Consider the following 21,973-nt stretch of genomic DNA (forward strand, 5'->3'; position numbering starts at 1 on the left):
CTGACTCATAGTTTAACTCTCCATTTATTTAGCTCTTCTTTAATTTTCCTTATCAGTATATTGTGATTTTCAGCATATAAATATTGTGCTTATTTTGTTAGATTCATAGCTAAGTATTTTATGGTTTTGATGCTTTTGTAAATGCTACTGTTTTTTAAATTCTAATTTCAATTGTTTATTGCTCTTATTTTTTTTTAACTTTTTTTTTTTTGAGATGAAGTGTCGCCCTTGTCCCCCAGGCTGGAGTGTGATGCGTAATCTCGGCTCACTGCAACCTCTGCCTCCTGGGTTCAAGTGATTCTCCTGCCTCTGCCCCCCACTGAGTAGCTGGGATTACAGGCACCTGCCACCACGACCAGCTATTTTTTGTATTTTTAGTAGAGACCGGGTTTTACCATGTTGGCCAGGCTGGTCTAGAACTCCTGACCTCAGGTTATCCACCCACCTCGGCCTCCCAAAGTGCTGGGATTACAGGTGTGAGCCACCACACCTGGCCATTTATTGCTCTTATATAGAAATACAACAGATTTTTGTATATTGACCTTGTATCCTATGGCCTTAATAAACTCATTTATTAGTTCTTTTGTAGATTATTTGGGACTTTATGTGTAGATACTCATGTCATCTGTGAATAAATATTGCTTTATTTCTTCCTTTCCAGTATATATGCTTTTTATTTTTCTTTCTTGGCTATTACATAGGTTAGCACCTGCAGTAAAACCTTGAGTAGAAGTGGTAAAACGACATTCTTGTGGAGGAAAGCATTCAGGCTTTCCCATTGAGTATGATGTTAGTTATAGGTTTTTTTGTAGATACCTTTTATTAGGTATCAGAAATTCCTTGTATTTTTAGTTTGTTAAGAGATTTTTATTGTGAATGGATGTTGAATTTTGTCAGATGATTTTTCTTCATCTATCGAAATGATATTTCTTTTCTAGCCACTTGACATGGTGAACTACATTGGTTTATTTTTCAAAAGTTAAAACAACCTTGCATTCCTAGGATAAACCCCACTTAGCCATGACATAATATCTTTGTTGTGTATATTTGGATTGGATTTGCTGATATTTTGTTAAAGATTTTTGCATCTGTGTTCACAAGGATATTCGTCTTTTTCTGGTTTTGGCAATACTGGCCTTATAAAATGTGTTAGGAAGCATTCCCTTCTCTTATGTGCTGGAAGAGTTTTTGTTGAGTTTCTATTCATTCTTCTATACATTTTTGGGTAGAATTCACAAGTGAAACCATCTAGTCCTGGAGTTTCCTTTGTGGGAAAGTTTTTAACTACAAGTGTGATTTATTTCATAGACATTGGGCTATTAAGCTAACTTATTTCTTCTTAAATGAGCTTTGCTATTTTGTCCAGTTTATGGGCATGAAGTATTTCATAATATTGTTATCTCATTAGCATCTGTGGGGTCTGTGGTGATGTCTCCCATTACATTACTGATATTGATAATTTGTGTCTTTTTTCTTTTTTGCTTTATTGGTCTGGTTAGAGAGCTATCAATTGTATTGATATTTTTAAAGAACCAGCTTTTGGTTTTATTGATTTTTCTCTATTTTTATGTTTTTAATTTTATTCATTTCTCCTCTAATCTTTATTGTTAGTTTTTAAATTTCTGTTGGCTTTAGGTTTAATTTGCTCTTCCTAATGACTTTAATTCATTCAGACTCTTGCATTCCAGCTTATGCCCTCACTTCTCCACAGTGCAGCTGGAATCACAAAAGTCACTAATGACCTCCTAATTAGCAGTGGCATCATCACCAGTTGTTGCCTAGTTAGATGCCACTTCAGCATTTGAACCCTTTTTCTATGTACTTTCATATATAGCCTCTCTAATTTCACAGGTTATTTGAAAATCTTCCTCTTGATTTTCTACTCATTCCCTCTAAGGGAGCAGAATTATCTTTGATTAACTATTGCCTACTATTTCTAATGCAAGTTTCTAACACCCATTTTTTTTCCTCCCTGCCATTATTCTCTTCCTTTTTTCAGCTCCGTAAAACTCCCTCTGGTGCCTCATCATATATGATGCAAACTACTTTATCCATAATCCTGTCACCTAGATATAGACAACTCCTTGTCCTTGGTTTATGTAATTCCATAAAAACAGGCACACGTAAATTTTTTAACAAACATTTGATTGCAACATTCATTACTGCTTTGCAGTCCCTTTTCCCTCAATATATCATTTATGTATAATATCATTCTATATATAATTTACACTTATTTTTAAATATGTCATTTACATCTTTTCATATATATTTAAAACATTTTATTAGAGAGATTTTCAAACATACAAAAGTAAGCAGAATGTTATAATGGACCCTCCTGTACACATCACCCAGCTTTCATGGTTGTCAACTCAGGGCCAATCCTGTTTCATCTTCATCTGCACCCTGACCTACTTCTTTCCTCCTATGTTATATTGAGACAAGTCCCAAATATATCATTTCCTCCATCCATAAAAATTTGTAATGACTGTATGGTATCTAACTGTAAGGATGTACCATTATTTATATATTTAGATAATCCTGTTTTTGGACATTTGTGACTTTTAGTTTTATCATTCAAATTATAACACTACAACTGCTACCATAATATTTTTAAATAAATGAGTTACCACCAGCTTTTCACATTGCTTGAATATATTTTCTTATTTTTAGCCCTACAACATCCTGTAAAGTAGTCAGAACGGGTTATATTATCCACATTTTATACACAAGAATTTTAGAGTCCAGTGGCAAACTATTGGTAAATAGTAGAGTTTCCTAACTTAAAATTATTCATAAAAATAACACATATATATGGTAGAAATAGGCTGCTTAAAAAATTTCTATGTAACTATTCATTGAACACCTGTTAAGTATTAGATACTATGTTGGATGCTTTTCTGTTTATAAATGCTGTGAAATAAGTGTTGTATCATTTTACAGGTAGGGAGAGGAGACTCAGATAAGTTAAATAATGTACCCATCATCACATAGCTAGTATTGGAATCTGAGTTCCAATTTAGGTCTTGCCTTTAAGTTCAGTATTCTTTCCAGTTTTCCCTATATTCATATTTCAAGGATTACCTCCTTTTCATTAAGAAAGCAAGTAACTTTTGAGCCTGATTGCGCCTTCAAGACAACTTTACAATGTAGTTGGGAAGATAGTACAAGATAGGAAGTCAGTGCCATAGGAGCAGAAAAAAAGTTATTTGGCAGTGGTAAAAATAATGATACTGTCCTTCATATATGCATGGTACTTTAGGCATGACAGAGAGCTTTGTCATTTCATCAATAATTTGTAATATATTAAATATCTACTATGTAGAAAGACCTGTATTAGTTATGTAACAGTGAAGCAAGCTGACTTTTATCCTTCCTGTTATCACTAGAAACTATACATTTGAGGAGAAATCAGACAAGATATTTGCATAGTTCTCTTAAGAGAACTATTTTTTTCACTAGCAAAATTTTGTGCATTCTTCTGTTTCTCCTGGCAATCCTGACAATATTCAAAATCCAGGCTAAGTAAGGCTCCAGAAAAACCAAATTTCCCTGAAAATAGAATATAGTTATATTGTAGAAGTGACAATTGTCAGCATATTGCCAGTAGTGGAAGAATGTGGTATTGGCATGTGTTTGCTAGTTGGTTTTTGGTTTAGGGAATATTCTAGAGACATCCAAAAGACTTAATGCTTGTCCAGCTGCTTCTATATAGTGCCATAGTCTAAACAAGTAATTCAACAAAATGCTTTGAAACCACATTACTTGCTCATTAAACATTTGAAATATTTTCACAGAAATTAAATATGAGGTACTGAGAATGTACTTGCACAGTTATTTACATATCCAAATATTTGAAACCTCTTCCAGAATCTAGATCCCTGTAATAAACTGCCTTTTAAAATGCTGCCATGGGGCTGCGTGTGGTGGGTCATGCCTGTAATCTCAGCACTTTGGGAGGCTGAGGCATGTGGATCACCTGAAGTCAGGAGTTCAAGACCAGTCTGACCAATATGGTGAAACGCTGTCTCTACTAAAAATAAAAAAATTAGCTGGGCATGGTGGTGTGTACCTGTAGTCCCAGCTACTCAGTAGGCTGAGATAGGAGAATCACTTGAACCCGGGAGGCGGAGGTTGCAGTGAGCCGAAATTGTGCCACTGCACTCCAGCCTGGGTGACAAAGCAAGACTCCATTTCAAAAAAAAAAAAAAATGCTGCCATGTGGACAGGCAGTTAAATATGTGGCCATACATGGTGGCAACAAATGTTCTACACCTTTATTATCCAGTAGAAATATGTAAGCTACATGTGTAACTTAAAATATTCTAATAGACACATTAATAAAATTAAAAAGCAGGTGAAATTAATTTTAATAGTATATTTTATTTAATGCAAAATATCCAAAACATTATTTCAATGTGGAGTCAATATGAAATATTACTGAGATGTTTTACATCTTCATACTGTTTTCTAATAATATATGAATTATTGAATGAAGTACGTATTTTACACTTACACTGTATCAGAATTTGGACTAGCCACATTTCAAGTGCTCTTGGACAGCACAGGTCTATTATTCTCCAGGCCTCAGTCATTTTCTGAACCAACTGGAGGCAAGAAAACGAGTGTGTCATTGAAATAGTGTCCAAATGCCCTGAGCCGGTACAGGCCATACATCATTACTTCCATCTTTTGGGGGGTCAGTCCATTGAAAGTAATAGCCATATCTGAACAGCAGCCTTCTACTACTTGCTGAGGGTTATTAGACAATGCCTCTTCAATAAGCTGTGCGATTGGTTTTGTATTAAATACATCTCTTCCTTCATAATCCTCTGCATTTTCTGCATGAACTCCTGCATATTTCAGGCATATTGCCAGCTGCTTATCTTCAGATAACTTCCAAATCACACTTTGATCTGCACAGGTCTCAGAGTTATCGAGAAGTCTGTTAAGTCTTTTCATCAACTCTCTGCTTAAGACAATCCCTCCTTCCACAGTCACGTATTCGAGGTCTCCAAATATAACAGTGTGGCCCAGATAGAAGGGCTGGGATGCATCCCTTGTAAACAAAAGGTACTTTAAATTTTCAATGACAGCAAACGTAGTGGGAAGTGCAAGGAAGAACCAGTTGTAGTTGTCACCATACTTTTCAAAGACGTATTTGTAAGCGGTCCTCATCTGTACCCACCTGTCATTACTTTCTATATTGAACAAATTATCATTTTTAGTATCGTAGAGCTCTGCTTTGTCACAGTGTTTGGTCCAGGTCTCTTTCAGTACAGCCCAGTAACTCTCATCTTCGGATTCTCCAAAGATGATACAGAAAACACGAATACTTTTACTGAGCTCCAAGAGTATCACTTTTGAAGTGTTTAAGAAATCGTTCCTGTTAGGTGGACGAAGGTGATGGTGCTCGTGGTCTTGAGTTTGACCTCTGTGTCGAATGTGAATTTGGCCAAACATAGTTATCAAAACCCAGGAAATGCTCCCAAGCAACATACCCTTAAAAAATGATGTCCCACTAGCGGAAACCATTTTCCAGGCGTTAGGACAGTGTGCCAGGGTCAAAGGCAGCCTGGGACCGGGTCCTGGGGTCCCGCGCCTTCCGGAGCTGGCGGCTGCGCTCCCGGTTGGGCCACTCTAGCTGCGGGAGGTCGCTTCTCGGTGGCGTAGAGAAGGGGGCGGGGCAGGAGCGGGACGCGGCGGCCACTGCGGGTGGGGTCCGGGCTGCTGCGGGTGAGAGGTATACCAGGAGTTCTGCACGCCTGGCCTTCCAACCAGCAATAAAGTTGAAAATGAGCAGAGATGAGTCACAGACGGCTCTAAAGTGAGCCAGACATCAGCACTGAGCCAAAAAGAATAAAATTGAGTTTTACCTCACGATTTGTGTATTCAGCCCCTGGTACAACACATCCCGTATGTTGATTAGCATGGGGTCCTTCTTAAGGCTTTTAAAATTCTCCTTATAATATTCGTTTTAGTATTTGTGTGTCTGTGTGTTTAATCAAAGAATCTCTTCTATACTCTCTCCATCAGTCTGTAAGAATGTAAAACTACCCAGAGTTTATTTAAACCTAGCACCCACGGAGTTCATGAGAACACACCACTTCCTTGATGTCATTATGACTTTTTGATCAAGCGGTCAAATAGGACATTTGAAGCCTTTCTTTCCTCTTAGATTTATTTTCTTGTTCTTAATATATGTTAATCCATAATTTTTAATCTACAATCCACTGAAGAAAATTCTATTGATGAATACTCTTGAGGTATATATGTAGTCCTTGTATTAAAAGTATCGAAACTCTGGCATTTTGATCAACTTTTAAATATGCAAAGAGCCTTTAATGTGCTAACTGTATTTAACTCATCTCCAGTGAACTAGTTTAAAATATCCAAACTGATGATGACTTTATGAGTTTTTTTTTTTTTAATTGATCATTCTTGGGTGTTTCTCGCAGAGGGGGATTTGGCAGGGTCATAGGACAATAGTGGAGGGAAGGTCAGCAGATAAACAAGTGAACAAAGGTCTCTGGTTTTCCTAGGCAGAGGACCCTTCGGCCCTCTGCAGTGTTTGTGTCCCTAGGTACTTGAGATTACGGAGTGGTGATGACTCTTAACGAGCATGCTGCCTTCAAGCATCTGTTTAACAAAGCATATCTTGCAACGCCCTTAATCCATTTAACCCTGAGTGGACACAGCACATGTTTCAGAGAGCACAGGGTTGGGGGTAAGGTCACAGATCAACAGGATCCCAAGGCAGAAGAATTTTTCTTAGTACAGAACAAAATGAAAAGTCTCCCATGTCTACTTCTTTCCACACAGACACGGCAACCATCCGATTTCTCAATCTTTTCCCCACCTTTCCCCCATTTCTATTCCACAAAACCGCCATTGTCATCATGGCCCGTTCTCAATGAGCTGTTGGGTACACCTCCAAGACGGGGTGGTGGCCGGGCAGAGGGGCTCCTCACTTCCCAGTAGGGGTGGCTGGGCAGAGGCGCCCCTCACCTCCCGCACCGGGCAGCTGGCTGGGCGGGGGGCTGACCCCCCCCCACCTCCCTCCCGGACGGGGCGGCTGGCCGGGCGGGGGGCTGATCTCCCCACCTCCCTCCAGGACGGGGCGGCTGGCCGGGCGGGGGGCTGATCCCCCCACCTCCCTCCCAGACGGGGCGGCTGCCGGGCGGAGGGGCTCCTCACTTCTCAGACGGGGCGGTTGCCAGGCAGAGGGTCTCCTCACTTCTCAGACGAGGCGGCCTGGCAGAGACGCTCCTCACCTCCCAGACGGGGTCGCGGCCGGGCAGAGGCGCTCCTCACATTCCAGACCGGGCGGCGGGGCAGAGGCGCTCCCCACATCTCAGAAGATGGGTGGCCGGGCAGAGAGGCTCCTCACTTCCTAGATGGGATGGCGGCCGGGCAGAGATGCTCCTCACTTTCCAGACTGGGCAGCCAGGCAGAGGGGCTCCTCACATCCCAGACCATGGGCGGCCAGGCAGAGACGCTCCTCACTTCCCAGACGGGGTGGCGGCCGGGCAGAGGCTGCAATCTCGGCACTTTGGGCGGCCAAGGCAGGCGGCTGGGAGGTGGAGGTTGTAGCGAGCCGAGATCACGCCACTGCACTCCAGCCTGGGCACCATTGAGCACTGAGTGAACGAGGCTCCGTCTGCAATCCCGGCACCTCAGGAGGCCGAGGCTCGCAGATCACTCGCGGTTAGGAGCTGGAGACCAGCCCGGCCAACACAGCGAAACCCCGTCTCCACCAAAAAAATACGAAAACCAGTCAGGCGTGGCGGCGCGCGCCTGCAATCGCAGGCACTCGGCAGGCTGAGGCAGGAGAATCAGGCAGGGAGGTTGCAGTGAGCCGAGATGGCAGCAGTACAGTCCAGCTTCGGCTCGGCATCAGAGGGAGACCATGGAAAGAGAGGGAGAGGGAGACCGTGGGTAGAGGTGGAAGTGGAGGTGGAGGTGGAGGTGGAGGTGGAGGTGGAGGTAGAATTATGAGATTTTTAAAGCCTTTTTCAGAAAGGCTCATTTTTCAAAAATAAATTTTTGTATTTATATTTTCCCTCACTCTACAGATGCAACAGCTTGAGAGACAAGTTATTGATGCTGAACGTCAAGCAGAAAAAGCTTTTCAACAGGTAGAGTATAATTTTACTTTAAATTTTTTTTGCCTGTACTACTCACATAAAGATTGTTTTGCTCATAATGGAAAGACAATTATCAGCCCACCTCTACATCTTATCTTTTTGACTGTTCATAGCTTGATCCATAAAGAAAATGGAGAATCTAACTCTATTTTGTCCATTAACAAATTTTCAAAAGGAAAAAAAGGCTTCCATTAGGAAGGAAGTTTTATCTTACTTCTGAGAAAAATCAAATATGACTTTTATGGTAATACTAACTATATTTAAGTTTTGTATATAAATATGTTCATAGTTGCTTTATTTGTAGTTATAAAGAGTTGGAAATAATATGAATGCCATATTATAGAAGAATGAAAAAGTAAACTCTATCAACTCCATGAAATATTAGACAACCATTAAAATAATTGTTTCTAAGGATTTGCATTAATATGTAAAAATGCTTAGAGTTGTATTAGGAAAAGTCAAACCTAAGAGTTAAAAAAAAAGGCTGAGAGGAAACACCCCAAAATTTTAACAAATGTTTACAATTGTTTGAATTACGGAATCAGGAATGATTTTTTCCCTTTTTTTTTTTTTTTTTTTGAGACGGAATCTTGCTCTGTGGCCCAGGCTGGAGTGCAGTGGCGCGATCTTGGCTTACTGCAACCTCCGCCTCCCGGGTTCAAGTGATTCTCCTGCCTCAATCTCCTGAATAACTGGGATTACAGGTGCGCACCACCATACCCGGCTAATTTTTATATTGTTAGTAGAGATGGGGTTTGTTGGCCAGGATGGCCTCAAACTCCTGACCTCAGGTGATCCATCCACCTTGGCCTCCTAAAGTGCTGGGATTACAGGTATGAGGTATTGTGCCTGGCCCCCTATATTTTCATACTTTGAGTTTTTTAATATAACTTTTATTTATTAAAATTTTTAAATTTTGTAATGACAGGGTCTCACTATGTTGTCCAGGATGATCTTGAACTACTGGCTTCAAGTGATGCTCAGTGTCCCAAAGTGTTGGGATTACAGGTGTGAGCTCACTGTGCTCAGACAACTTTTATTATTTTTAAAAGATGTTTTCATAAGTCACATAACCCTTTCTGGGTCTTCCAGCATTAAAATGAGCAGTAAAATGATGGGTTTGGATGGGCCCACCCAGCCTTAAAGTTTAATGATTCTAAATCCATAGCTTCTCATTTCATGAAAAGATCTCAGTCATATTCAGTTTAATCAATGAGTTCCAGTGAGTTCTGGTGTTCTGCAGCACTATGGAGTAATATGGTTAACTATAATTTATTGCATATTTACAAAAAGCTTAAAGAGCCAGCTTTCTATATTTTCATAAAGCTAGAAGAGAGGATTTTGAATGTTCACAACACAAATAAATAGTAAATGTTTGAGGTGCTGGACATGCTAATTACCTTGATTTGATCATTACACATTGTATACACACATGGAAATATCCCTCTGTATCTCATAAATATGTACAATTATTATGTATCAACTAAAAACAAAAGAAAAAAAAGGCTTAAATACAAAATTATTTCTCCTAAGAAGTGCATATGAAATTCCTTATGCTTCCTCTAAGTTTGTCATGTTTCCTTCCTTCAACTTGAGTACTACCAAATCTTTTTCCTTTTTAATTTTTATTTTAGAAGGGTAAGGAGTCTGGCAACAAGGCTTTCCCCGTTGCTGCACTGCTGTTCTTTCCACTAATTTTGGAAGTTGCAGTGTCTGTTTGTTTAGTGGTTTGGCTTTCTGGCTGCTCAAAATTGAAGTCAAGTAAGCCTTCCGAAGGAAATTTATCACTTGTAAATCTTTCAGAAGGACCTCTATATGTGGCAGCCGTACAAAGTTTGTCATTCCAAGTTTCTCATTTTCTTGACACTACCAATTATATCTTTCTTGATTGTATTTGCTTGACTTATTTGATTTCTTGTTCCATAGCATAGTCACATCTTCCATTTGACAAGTAGAATTTCTGTTTCTGCCTGGTTGAAATTTATGTCCAGGGCCACTTTAGTTGCAATTATTTTTACTACATACACTGGATTTCTAGTTTCCGTTACTGTTGTTCATATGCCAACTGGAAAAGTCACCTGTTCCCTCAGAATGCCAACTGGAATTCCTTCCTGTACCATTATGATTCCAATCTACTGTTCCACTATTTGAATGCCAACCAACTCCAGAATTACTATGGTTGTGAAACCAAGTCAAGGAGCCTCCTGCAACACTCTAATGCCACTCAGAACATCCTTTTGGTCCACCACTATTCCTCAAAGAATACAGAAAGCTGTTTCTCCATGTATTATTAAAGCGATCTTTTTTCCAATTACAATCCTCCTGTGGAGGTCCAGGGTGATGCCATGCTGGCTGACTGTAACTCTGTCTGTGTTGGTGAGGAATTTGGTGTTCTCAGCTCCATTGGGGTCACCTGTCATCAGAATTTACTTCTTGGCTGCTACTGGAAGGTTCTTGTCGACTTTGTTCTTTCCTTTGTTTTATTAATTGAATGAGTTCCTTGTCAAAATAATCTTCTTCCTCTTCCTCTCCTTTTCCATCATCTTCTCTTTCCTGGGCATCAACGTTATCTTTGTGCAGCTGGCCAGAAATGTGCTTTGCGTATGCAGAAAGACTCACTTCTGTGGGCCCGCACCTTCGGCACTCATGACTAGTGCCTCTTTTTGGAGCTGTACACGATATGACACAATATGCATTTTTGTTCTCCTACCATAGTGACCAGATCTGAATCACTCAACCAAACGCTCTTACTCCATCAGGCCACTGAGGGCCAGGCAAGGGAGCTCCCTGATGCCCCAGACACCCCATTCAGTTTCGGGTCTGAGAGCCTACTCTGGACCCTCTCCCCACCAGGCCCCATCACCCTCAATTTTTATTTTAGATTCAGCAGATACATGAAAGTTTTAATTTTATAGGGTAGAGTAAGTGCCTAATAGATTTCTAAATAAGCCCAATGTAGCCTAATCTTTGATTTTTTTAATTATGCTTGAAAAGGAAATCTTACAACTTTATTAGGCAAGACTTTAAGCACATACAAGAGTAGAGAAAATAGTATAGTGAACCCGCATCACCCACTTCAACAATTAGTCAAGTCATGCCTCATCTGTACCTCCACCCACTTCCCCTGCCCCCCTCACACTGGACTATTGAAAAGCAAATCCCAGACATGGTATAATTTCATCCATTATTATATACTATACTAATCTGAAACCAAACACCCTTAAAAATCATAACCACAATACCATCATCACACCAAAAAATTACCAGTAATTCTTCAGTATATCAAAGATCTAGTCAGTATTCAGATTTTTCCAAATAGCTAATAATTGCTTCTGTGTTTTGTTCTTTAATCAAAGTGGAATTCACATAACATAAAATTAACTTTTTTTTTTGAGACAGTCTCACTCTGTCACCTGGGCTGGAGTGCAGTGGTGCCATCTCAGCTCACTGCCACCTCCACCTCCTGAGTTCAAGCGATTCTCCTGCCTCAGCCTCCCGAGTAGCTGGGACTATAGGCACCCACCACCACGCCTGGCTAATTTTTTGTATTTTTAGAGAGATGGGGTTTCACCATGTTGGCCAGGCTGGTCTCGAACTCCTGACCTTGTGATTTGCCCCCCTTGGCCTCCCAAAGTGCTGGGATTACAGGCATGAGCCACCGTGCCCAGCCAAAATTAACATTTTTAAATGAACATTTCAGTGTTGTGTACAATCATCACCTTTATCTAGTTCCAAAATGTCGAAAGGAAACTCATCTCAAAAGGAAACCTTATTCATTAAGCATTTAGTCCCATTTCCCCCTCCCACTAGCCCCTGGCAACCACCAATCTGCTTTCTGTTGCTATGGATTTACCTATTCTGGATATTTCATATAAATGGATTTATATACTATTTGATCTTTAGTGTCTGGCTTCTTTCATTTAGCAGAATGTTTTTGATATTTATCCACGTTGTAGCATGTGTCATGCTTTATTCCTCATTATGGCTGAATAATGTTCCATATATACACACACACACACACACACACAATTTGTTTATCCATTTGACTTTTTATGGACATTGTCTTTTTATGGACTTTCACTGCCCTCGATGTCTCCTGTGCCCTACCTATTCTACCTTTTCATCTTTTGACTATTGTGACTAGTGCTGTTAAGAACGTACATATATTTGTTTGAGTACCCCTTTTTAATTCTTTTATTTATATACCCTTTTTTTTTTTTTTTTTTTTGAGATGGAGTTTTGCTCTTGTTGCCCAGGCTGGAGTGCAATGGCACGATCTTGGCTCACCACAACCTCCGCCTCCCACGTTCAAGCCATTCTCCTGCCTCAGCCTCCCGAGTAGCTGGGATTACAGGCATCCACGCCTAGCTCATTTTGTATTTTTAGTAGAGATGGGATTTCTCTATGTTGGTCGGGCTGGTCTCAAACTCCTGATTTCAGGTGATCCGCCCACCTTGGCCTCCCAGAGTGCTGGTGTTACAGGTGTGAGCCACCTCGCCCGGCCCTCTTTTTTTTTGTTTTTAATAGTTAGTTTGTTCAAATTGGGATCTAAACTAGATTGATACATTTCATTTGATTCTTAAACTCTTTTAATTTATAGGGTCTTTTTTCCTTTTTTCTTTCAACTTATTTGTATGGGTTAATTTGTTCTCTAAAGCTTTCCACATTCTGGAGTTTGCCTATTGCATACCTATGATGTGATTTAACAAGCTCCTCTTCCCCTATATTTCCTGTAAAATATAGTTAGATCTAAAAATTTGACTTTTCTTTCTCTTTTTTCAAGACTACTTCTTGGGTGATATTGTTGACCTCCACCAGGAGGTGGATGTCTAGTTATCTCTCTCTCTCTCTTTTTTTTTTGGTGATATTAGCAGCCATTGATTACCTTGTTTAAATCAATGATTTCATCAGGGAGGTTATTGCTTTTTTAAAAACAGACTTTAATTTTTAGAGCAGTTTCAGATTTACAGCAAAATTGATGGTGTATGAAGTACAGAGCTTTCATATATCCTCTCCCCTCCAACACACATTCAAGCTTTCTTCACCATCAGCATCCAACACCAGAGTGGTACATTTATTACAACTGATGAACCAACACTGACACATCATTGTTACCCAAATCCCATAGTTTACATTAGTGTTTACTCTTGGTGTTTTATGTTCTATGGATTTTGACAAATGTATAATGCTGTGTATCCTCTTCTATAGTATCATATAGGATATGATACTATACTCCCCTTCCTTTTCCTTCTTTTCTCCTTCCCTTCTTTTCCCCTTCCTTTCCCTTCCCTTCTTTTTCCTTCATTGTCTTGTGTTTTCTGACTTTGGCCTTCCTAGTAGCATCTTTCTTTACCTCTGTACCCTGGCTGTGTCTATATGTCTCTATATGTAATCTATCTGTTCTTCCCTATCTTTCCCTTCCCTTCCTTTCTCTCCTTTAACTGCCCATATTATGGGAAAAAGAGAAAAAAATTGAGGATGGTTTTGTTTTGCCTTAATTTAAAATTCTTAATTCATAATATGTGGCAAATTTGTTTGTTTTTGAAAATTAAACTAAATTAAGTATTTTTTATTTGTGATTTTCAACTATCTACACCCGCCCCCCACCGACCCCTGCCCCACCCCAATTCCTTGGGTCTTATGAGATCCAGTGAGGAGTCTTTAAAAAAGGATCCTTGTTCCCGATTCAAGGGAAGCAAACCACAGAGGTTTGTTGCCATCAGGGCCAACCACTGGTCTTGGTAAGTTTGACAGGAAGGACTTCTCTCCTTTGAAGTTGTTCTTTGAGGATGTTGGGTATAAAGTTATTTAATTCTATGTGCTATATCTTTAAGCAAAAATACACCAGGATTGGTTATTTTAGACATACTGCTACTCCCATTACCAAAAAAAAAAAAAAAAAGAGAGAGAATTACAAATCTCTCAGAGTTTCCATGTGTTAGCAAAACCTGTAGGCATTTCTTTTTGTCACAACACTTTAAATTTATTTACTGCATATTTTGTTACACTTCAGAAGGACTTTTTTTCTTTACAATTACTTCATAATCTAAAAGTCGACAGGAAATACAGACAGCAGATGAATTCTCATGCACTGATGAAGTCACCTTTTTTGGCCTTTGCAAGACTAAGTGTTAATAACTTAGAGTAACTGAATCCTTCGCCATCTTTAACAATTTCCATGGGACTGTGGCCTATCTGATGTTTATGTTGCTGAAATCAGCTTGCCTTTTCTCATTCAACCATGTCCTAAGACTCAAACAACTGTATTTATCTTAACCAAAAAGGAATATTTTGCCACTAAAAGCAGTACTCAGCTAAAGCCAGTGCAACTCTATAGTTTAGCTTTGTACATTTTTCCCTTTGTTTATCAATGAATGGCATCACTTCTGTAACAATTAACTAAATTGTCTGCAGAAAAAAAGTCACAGATAAATATTTTATTGCCAGATAAATCTTGGTGATCTTTATACTTAATGTTCTAGTACATCTTTTTTTTGTTTGTTTGTCTTTTGAGACAGGGTCTTGCTCTGTCATCCAGGCTGGAGTGCAGTGATGCGATCTCAGCTCACTGCAACTTCTGTTTCCTGTGCTCAAGCAATCCTCCCACCTCAGCCTCTGGAGTAGCTAGGGCTGCAGGCATGTGCCACCACACCCAGTTAATGTTTTTTAACCTTTTTTTTTTTTTTTTGTAGAGACGATGTCTCACCACATTACCCAGATTAGTCTCGAACTTGTCAGCTCAAGCAATCCTCCAGCCTCAGCCTTCCAAAGTGCTGGGATTACCGGCATGAGCCACCACCCACGCCTGGCCCTAGTGCATCTTTATTATTGTTGTTCACAAGTTTGGAAGCAATGTGATCAAATCAACCCAGTTCTACTTATGAGTACTCCTGTGAGATAGAAAAGCAGCAAAGAGCATATTTGGAAAATACTGACATATGGGATTCATTCCCAAGTATCTAATTAGGTGGATACCTTAATATATTACATTTATTTATGCTGACCAACTGGGGTAGATTATTCCCCTATAAAAGTATGTGTCTTTTTATTTTATCCTTTTGGGCTTGATCCCTTGCCTGTGTTTGATTCAGGCATGGTAGCAGCTACATTTAAAGTTGCCTCTGACCATTCTAACACATGAGCTAATCTTCCCTTTCTGTAAAGTTAGTTCTTCTTCTTCTTCCTCTTCTTCTTCCTTCTCCTTCTTTTTCTTCTTCCTTCTTCCTCTTCCTTCTTCCTCTTCCTCTTCTTCTTCTTCTTTCTTCTTCTTCTTCTTTTTTGAGACTGAGTCTTGCTCTGTCGCCCAGGCTGGAGTGCAGTGGCATGATCCTGGCTCACCGCAGCCTCTGCCTCCCGGGTTCAAGCATTTCTCCTGCCTCCACCTCCCGAGTAGCTGGGAATACAGGTGCATGCCACCACACCTGGCTAATTTTTGTATTTATAGTAGAGACGGTGTTTCATCATGTTGGTCAGGCTGGTCTCAAACTCCTGACCTCAGGTGATCCCCCTGCCTTGGCCTCCCAAAGTGTTGGGATTTCAGGCGTGAGCCACTGTGCCCGGCCTGAAGTCATTTTTGACTCTTAATAAATCAATACTGCTCAGTCATTCTAATATCCATGACCTTGTAATGGATATTACATTGCAATGCTTTGCTATATGAGGCCCACCCTTCATTATATGGAAAGCAAATTATTTAATGATCTTGCTTTTCAACTTCTGCAAGAAGAATCCTACTTTATAATCATGGAGTACTATGCCAAAATAATTGTGTTGTAAATGTGATTAGAATGATTAATTAATTTGCATTAAACATATAAAAATTATAATCAACTTGCTGATTTCACTGATAACATGTCAGTAAATTTTGACACATTCTTGAGTTCAAGTTTTCTAAGAAGCTTTAAAAAGATATTTTATAAACATATGGCCTTCCCTTTCTTATGAGATCCCATCCAAGTAGTGTAGCATGACATGCAAAGATCCGTGTGTCCCTCTCCTTATTTACAGCCTTATATCTGGCCATGTCCCCCCTTCTCTCTATATATATTTATATTTTAAAATAATTTTAACTGTTATTTTAGACTCAGAGGGTACATGTGCAGGTTTGCTACATGGTTATATTACGTGATGCTGAGGTTTGGGATATGGATGATTCCATCTCCCAGGCAGTGAACATAGTACCCAATAGTTTTTCAGCCCATGTCTCCGTCTCTTGCTCCCTGTCTCATAGTCCTCAGTGTCTGTTGTCCCTATCTTTATGCCCTTGTGTATTTAATGTTTAGCTCCCACTTATAAGTGAGAGCATGTGGTATTTAGTTTTCAGTTCCTGCATTAATTCTCTTAGGATAATGACCTCCAGTTGCATCCATGTTGCTACAAAGGACATGATCTCATTCTTTTTTATGGCAGTGTAGTGTTCCCTGGTGTGTATGTACCACATTTTCTTTATCTAACTCACCATTGATGGGCACCTTGGTTGATTCCATGTCTTTGCTATTGCGAATTGCACTGTGATAAACATAGAAGTGCATGTGTCTTTTTGGTAGAACGATTTATTTTCCTTTGACTATATACCCAGTAACTGGATTGCTGGGTCAAATGGTACTTCTGTTTCTTTGAGAAACCTCTGACTGCTTTTTATAGTGGCTGAACTAATTTACATTCCCACCAACAGTGTATAAGTGTTCCCATTTCTCCACAGCATTGCCAGCATCTGTTATTTTTTACTTTTTTAATAATAGCCATTCTGACTGGTGTGAAATGGTATCTCATTATTGTTTGATTTGCATTTCTCTGGTGATTAGCAATGATGAGCATTTTTTCATATGTTTCTTGGCTGCCTGTATATCTTCTTTTGTTTTATTTAATTATTTTTTTTTCAAGACAGGGTCTTCCTCTGTTGCCCAGGCTGGAGTGCAGCAGCATGATCATGGCTCTCTGCAGCCTTGACCTCTCAGGCTCAAGTGATTCTCCCACTTCGGCCTTTTGAGTAGCTGGGACCACAGGCATATGCCACTATACTCAGCTAATATTTTAGAATTTTTTTTGTAGAGATGCGTTCCCACTCTTTTGCCCAGGCTGGCCTCAAACTCCTGGGCTCAAGCTGTCCTCCCTCCTCGGCCTCCCAAAGTGTTGGGACTACAGGCATGAGCCACCACACCCAGCCTGTGTTTTCTTTTGAGAAGTGTCTGTTCATGTCCTTTGCCCATAGCTTCTGCACAGCAAAAGAAACTATCAATAGAGTAAACATACAGCCTACAGAATAGGAGAAAATATTCACCAACTATGCATCCAACAATGGTCTAATATCCAGAATCTATAAGGAAGTTGTTATTGTATGAATCTAAACAATCTAAACAAATCTAAACAAATCAACAAGTAAATTTTAAGTAACTGGAAAGTAGTCTGGGATTTAAAATACTCTAAACAATTTCTTTTGTCATTCTATTTGGAAACAATCAGGAATCTTTGTCATGCCACAGCAATTTATATATAGAAATAGAAACTTGCAACCCCCTCTTAAAAATACAGTCACATCTTGATTATGTATAGTGGACAGGAATGAGGTTAGAAATGGGAAGAAGGAAATAATGATATGAATAATTACAATGGGAGTAATATTTGCAGCTCCTGCTTTCTCCTATGGAAAATAGCCCTGGAAGCTGTATTGGGATCCCCAACAGTACTCTTGGGTTCAGTGATTTGCTAGAATAACTCATGGGACCCAGAAAAGCTGTTTTGCTCATGGTCACCGTTTATTACAGTGAAAAGATACAGATTAAAATCAACAAAGGAAAAGGGCACATAGAGTGGTGTCCAGGAGAAATCAGGTATGAGCTTCCAGTTGTCTTTCTGCTGTGGGGTTGCACAGGGATGCACTTAATCCTCCCATCAATGTGTGACAACATGTATGAAACATTGCCAACAAATAAGCTTACTCAAGCCTTGGTGTCCAGGATTTTTATTAGAGGTCAGTCATGTAGGTCTGAAATATCCACCTGACTGATCTTAGTCAGTCTCCAGCCCACCCAGAGGTCAAACTGATAAATTTTGGCCCAGGGCCCCAGGTGAACACAAAAACAGGCACTCACCATAAGTCAGACCATTAGCATAAACTATGTGGTGTGGCCCAAGATCTCACTTATATTAATACAAAGGCAGCCTTAACAGTCAAGATATTCCAGGGCATCAGAGGTTGTCTCCCAAGAGCCAGTGAAGGACCAGTCCTTTCTTTGGAATGTGGAGGATCTGTACACCCCAAGTCTACTGAGTTAACCCTTTGCTGAACAGGAGTTTAGGGACCTTGGGATCAAGAAGGTTTGGGAGAAGTGGGTGAGGAGTGTGCTGAGGTGGGTGGATACAATCAGAGGTTCTCCTAGAAGTAAAGAAGCAAAGTAGCCTAAAAACAGGAAGCATTCCACACTGGAGGCTATCCGTGTATACACATTTGTGAGGGTTTATTTAACAAGCAATTTGAATTCACAGGTGTTTGTTATTGGCCAGTCTCTGAGTAGTTAAAATTCTTAAATGGTTCTGGTTAAATGAATGGAAAAACAAGTGAGCTATTTTCCATATGGTTGTGGTGAGATGTTTTAAAAGGCATCTTGGCTTTTCTGTGGACCTCTTAGCTTTTCTGTAGACCTCTTATTCATATTAATTACCAAAGAAGGCTAAATCCTGTCTACAGAACTTGGTCTTAATAGGATCAGTTGGTAAGTAGGTTGCTTGTAACTACTTTGTGGTCTCTTTCTCTAAGAGATTTTGCCCCTTTTGCCAATATTTTTCTTGCCTAGGAAAATTGTTTGTCTAAAAGTAATGGTTGAATTAAAGAGCTTCAGACAGCAAGGATGCATCCGAGGAGCTCTGTAGCATTCACTCATACAATAACAACTTCCAAATTGAATGTGTTATTCAGGGTAAAAGAGTAGTTCCAAACCATAGTTTTTCAGGTCTATAGACCTTTCCTAAGCAACAATAGGACTATTTTATGTGGCAACCCAATGTCTGTAGGGTGGCTTGCTTTAACTTAATAAAAGGACACTAGATGTAGGTCTGGTAGCATTTATTTTTATTCTTACTCAGTTACTTTTGTTTTTCTTGAGGTTTACTTCTATTACTCTGTGCCCAGAGGAGAACTATCATTTTGGACTTGGGCTCTGCTCCTCGTTCCCTGCTTCCTCAGCTACAGAATGTCGTATGTGGAACTGGCTATAGCTATACCATCTTAAGATTACTGTTCAGCTGTCTGTCCTGCTTGGGCAGTTTTGCATGACATCATTTCTGATGCAGACCTTTGTCTTGATACAGATCTTTGTCCTTCAGCTCATGCAGAAAGCCCACTATATTTCTTAGAATCTAAGGTAACTTAAATTATCATTTGGATAGTAGAATACATTTTTCTTCTTCTTCAACTTTTTTTTTTTGTGCTTTTATTTTCCTAGTTTCCAGCCATGTGGTTGGTATTTAAATAGAACAGTTTTGGCATCTGAATTGATTTACATTTATGCAGTGAACCCACAGATGAAACCTGGCATTCATGGTTCAAAAAAATAAATCCAAACCAACCTTTATACCTTTTCAGGAGAAAACCCTCATTAGTCAAATATTTTTTAGCTTTAAGTAAGGATTCCTTTTGACTTTTCAGAAGTGTTTTTAATAATTTCAGATTTTCATCTTAACTATCATCTTTAATTTCTCAAATGCTTTCACATTATTTTTTCTCTTTGCCTCTATAATCTGAAACGTTGCTAAAATTTTAGTCTTACCTATTTGGAGTATGTAGAATGAAAGTCTTAATATTGTATATAGTACTCAATACTTTATTTTCCTTCTTACTACAATTAACATCTCAAACATCTCTTATTTGGATCTCCTTGTGAAGTTTCTGCTGAGGCATCCAATCAACTAGACCATCTACAATCAAGGATCAAGTTTGTGAGTCAAAGAACTAAAGGAGAGAAAAGTGAGAACTAAAAGGTGGTGATAGGAAAATCTAAACTTTACTATGAGTTGAATAGACTTATATTATCCATGTAGGTTGGCAAACACAATATGCAGATATGCCTTTCTGAGATTTTATATGCCTGGATGTGTTTTACAGAATATCCAAGCAGGGCCAATCTATCTTAGATATTAAACTTGCAGCACCACTCAACCTCCAGCCACACACTCAGTCTCTTTTACCCTGTTCTGTTTTTTTCCCATTACCCTTATTGATGCAGGATTTTTTGCTTCTTAGCTCAGCTACATCTGGGTTCTTGTCTCACGACCAGGAAGAAGTAGTTGCACGGACACTCAAAGAATGAGCAAGGCAGGAAGTTTTATTGAATGATGAAACAGCTTTTAGCGGAGAGGGGATGTTGGGGGTGGTCCCCCCACCCGAAGCAGGAGATTTCCCAATATGGCTGAGCCCGGGGCTTTTTATGGGCTCAGAATAGGGAGTGCGTGCTGATTGGCTTGTGAGTAAGCAAAAAAGGTTAAAGTAAAGACATCACTCAAAAGTGGGCATGATAGTTTAGAAAACCAATTAGGAAAGGGTAGGTATATGTAAAATAGGTGAAGGATGGGATCAATCGAAAGAAAGTGTGCCAAACGGGAAGGCAGGTTCTCAATCTGGTTCAAGGATTTACCAGGGACTGTTTCCAGCTTGAAGGTTGGGTTTCACCAGGGACCTGCCCCATCTGCCTAGGCATTTGTCTGCCTCCCGCCTCTATCATTATCACCTGAGTAATGTAAAGTACTGTTCTTTTTTTAAAAAAACATATTTATTATATTTGTGATCTCTCTTACCCATTAGAATTAATTTCTTGAACTCCTGGACTCAAGCTATCTGCCTGCCTCGGCCTCCCAAAGTGCTGGGATTACAGGTGTGAGCCACTGTGCCAGGCCTAGAATGTAATTTCTATGCAGGCAGAGATTTGGGGGTCTAGTTTATTTGCTGATGCTTTCTCAGGGCCTGGAATAAGCCGGACACTTGACAGGTTTTCAGTGAATATTTGTTAAATGAATGAATCAAGAAGCCCTCATTGAGTGTACTCTCCTACCTATATCTAGACTCTAATACATTTTTATTTTTTATGATTCCATCATTTGGGGCTTTAAGGTTGTTTTCCCACCCCCCTTTCCATTGTGTATATGTTTCTTTTTCACCTAGGTTCAAGTTTTTTCCCATAATACATTATTATACCAGGCCATCCAGTCTGGGTCTCACCTCACCACTCACCTGTGTTAATTTATACTCTTTGTTTAAAATATGAAAAAATGAGGGCTGGAAACTTTCTGTTTCTATACTCATATAAACACTTTGCATATTGTCATCGCTCTAGGAAACATGTACATTACTTTATATGATAGCAATATTCTGAGAATTTCTTATGTTTGTATGTACCTCCAAGGTAACACCACTTGGTGAAATAGGCTTGAGACTTTATAATCATTAAATATATTAAACCTTGCTGTTTAATATTTTCCTTTTTGAAGTCTTTTAGGAATCTACATAATATTAAGGTAAAATTCTAGGTTTAATACTGTGATAACCTGAGTACACACACAATTTTAATATTTTATCCTTTGAATTTAGGTACAAGTTATGGAAGATAAATTAAAAGCAGCTAATATTCAAACCAGTGAATCAGAGACAAGATTATATAATAAGTGTCAAGATCTGGAGTCGCTAATACAGGAAAAAGATGACGTCATTCAAAACTTGGAATTGCAACTTGAAGAGCAGGTTAGGAAGAATTTGATAAAGAGTTCTAAGTGTGTGCACTCATTTGTGCATAATCACAAAGATTAAAAAGAGAGAGCCTAAATTTCTATATTTGGGGAGA

The 21,973-nt window shown here is 39.4% G+C and overlaps 2 protein-coding genes and 1 pseudogene across 10 annotated transcripts in view, besides 1 other annotated feature; 1 reads left to right on the top strand and 2 right to left on the bottom strand.

Moving 5' to 3' along the window:
- PLEKHH2 (pleckstrin homology, MyTH4 and FERM domain containing H2) overlaps nt 1–21,973 on the top strand; it is a 130,728-nt gene that overhangs the window by 33,531 nt on the left and 75,224 nt on the right. For 8 of the 9 annotated variants that reach the window (XR_001738621.2, XR_001738620.2, NM_172069.4 and 5 more), the window contains 2 exons: nt 8,073–8,135; nt 21,724–21,873. Coding sequence is in view for 7 of the 9 variants with exons in the window: in NM_172069.4 (NP_742066.2) it covers nt 8,073–8,135; nt 21,724–21,873 (213 nt within the window). In the remaining 2 variants the exon portion in view is untranslated. Of the gene's footprint in view, nt 1–8,072; nt 8,136–8,826; nt 8,849–21,723; nt 21,874–21,973 lie in introns of those variants that run through there. The other variant, XM_024452695.2, reaches the window with a different exon arrangement.
- C1GALT1C1L (C1GALT1 specific chaperone 1 like) lies at nt 4,361–5,639 on the bottom strand. Its single transcript, NM_001101330.3, has one exon. It carries the CDS (start codon nt 5,530–5,532, stop codon nt 4,585–4,587), a length of 948 nt encoding a protein of 315 aa, NP_001094800.1. The 5' UTR covers nt 5,533–5,639; the 3' UTR covers nt 4,361–4,584.
- Nucleotides 5,580–5,874: an enhancer, noted in NCBI's record as "tiled region #13975; HepG2 Activating DNase unmatched - State 4:PromP, and K562 Activating DNase unmatched - State 1:Tss". NCBI's record gives its function as "activates a minimal TATA promoter and a strong SV40 promoter by Sharpr-MPRA in HepG2 and K562 cells {active_cell/tissue: HepG2 | K562}" and the evidence as "EXISTENCE:reporter gene assay evidence [ECO:0000049][PMID:27701403]".
- LOC100421122 (zinc finger protein 106 homolog (mouse) pseudogene) lies at nt 9,777–10,805 on the bottom strand (annotated as a pseudogene).

Source organism: Homo sapiens, chromosome 2, assembly GCF_000001405.40.
Source record: "Homo sapiens chromosome 2, GRCh38.p14 Primary Assembly".
Taxonomy (NCBI): Eukaryota; Metazoa; Chordata; class Mammalia; order Primates; family Hominidae; genus Homo; species Homo sapiens.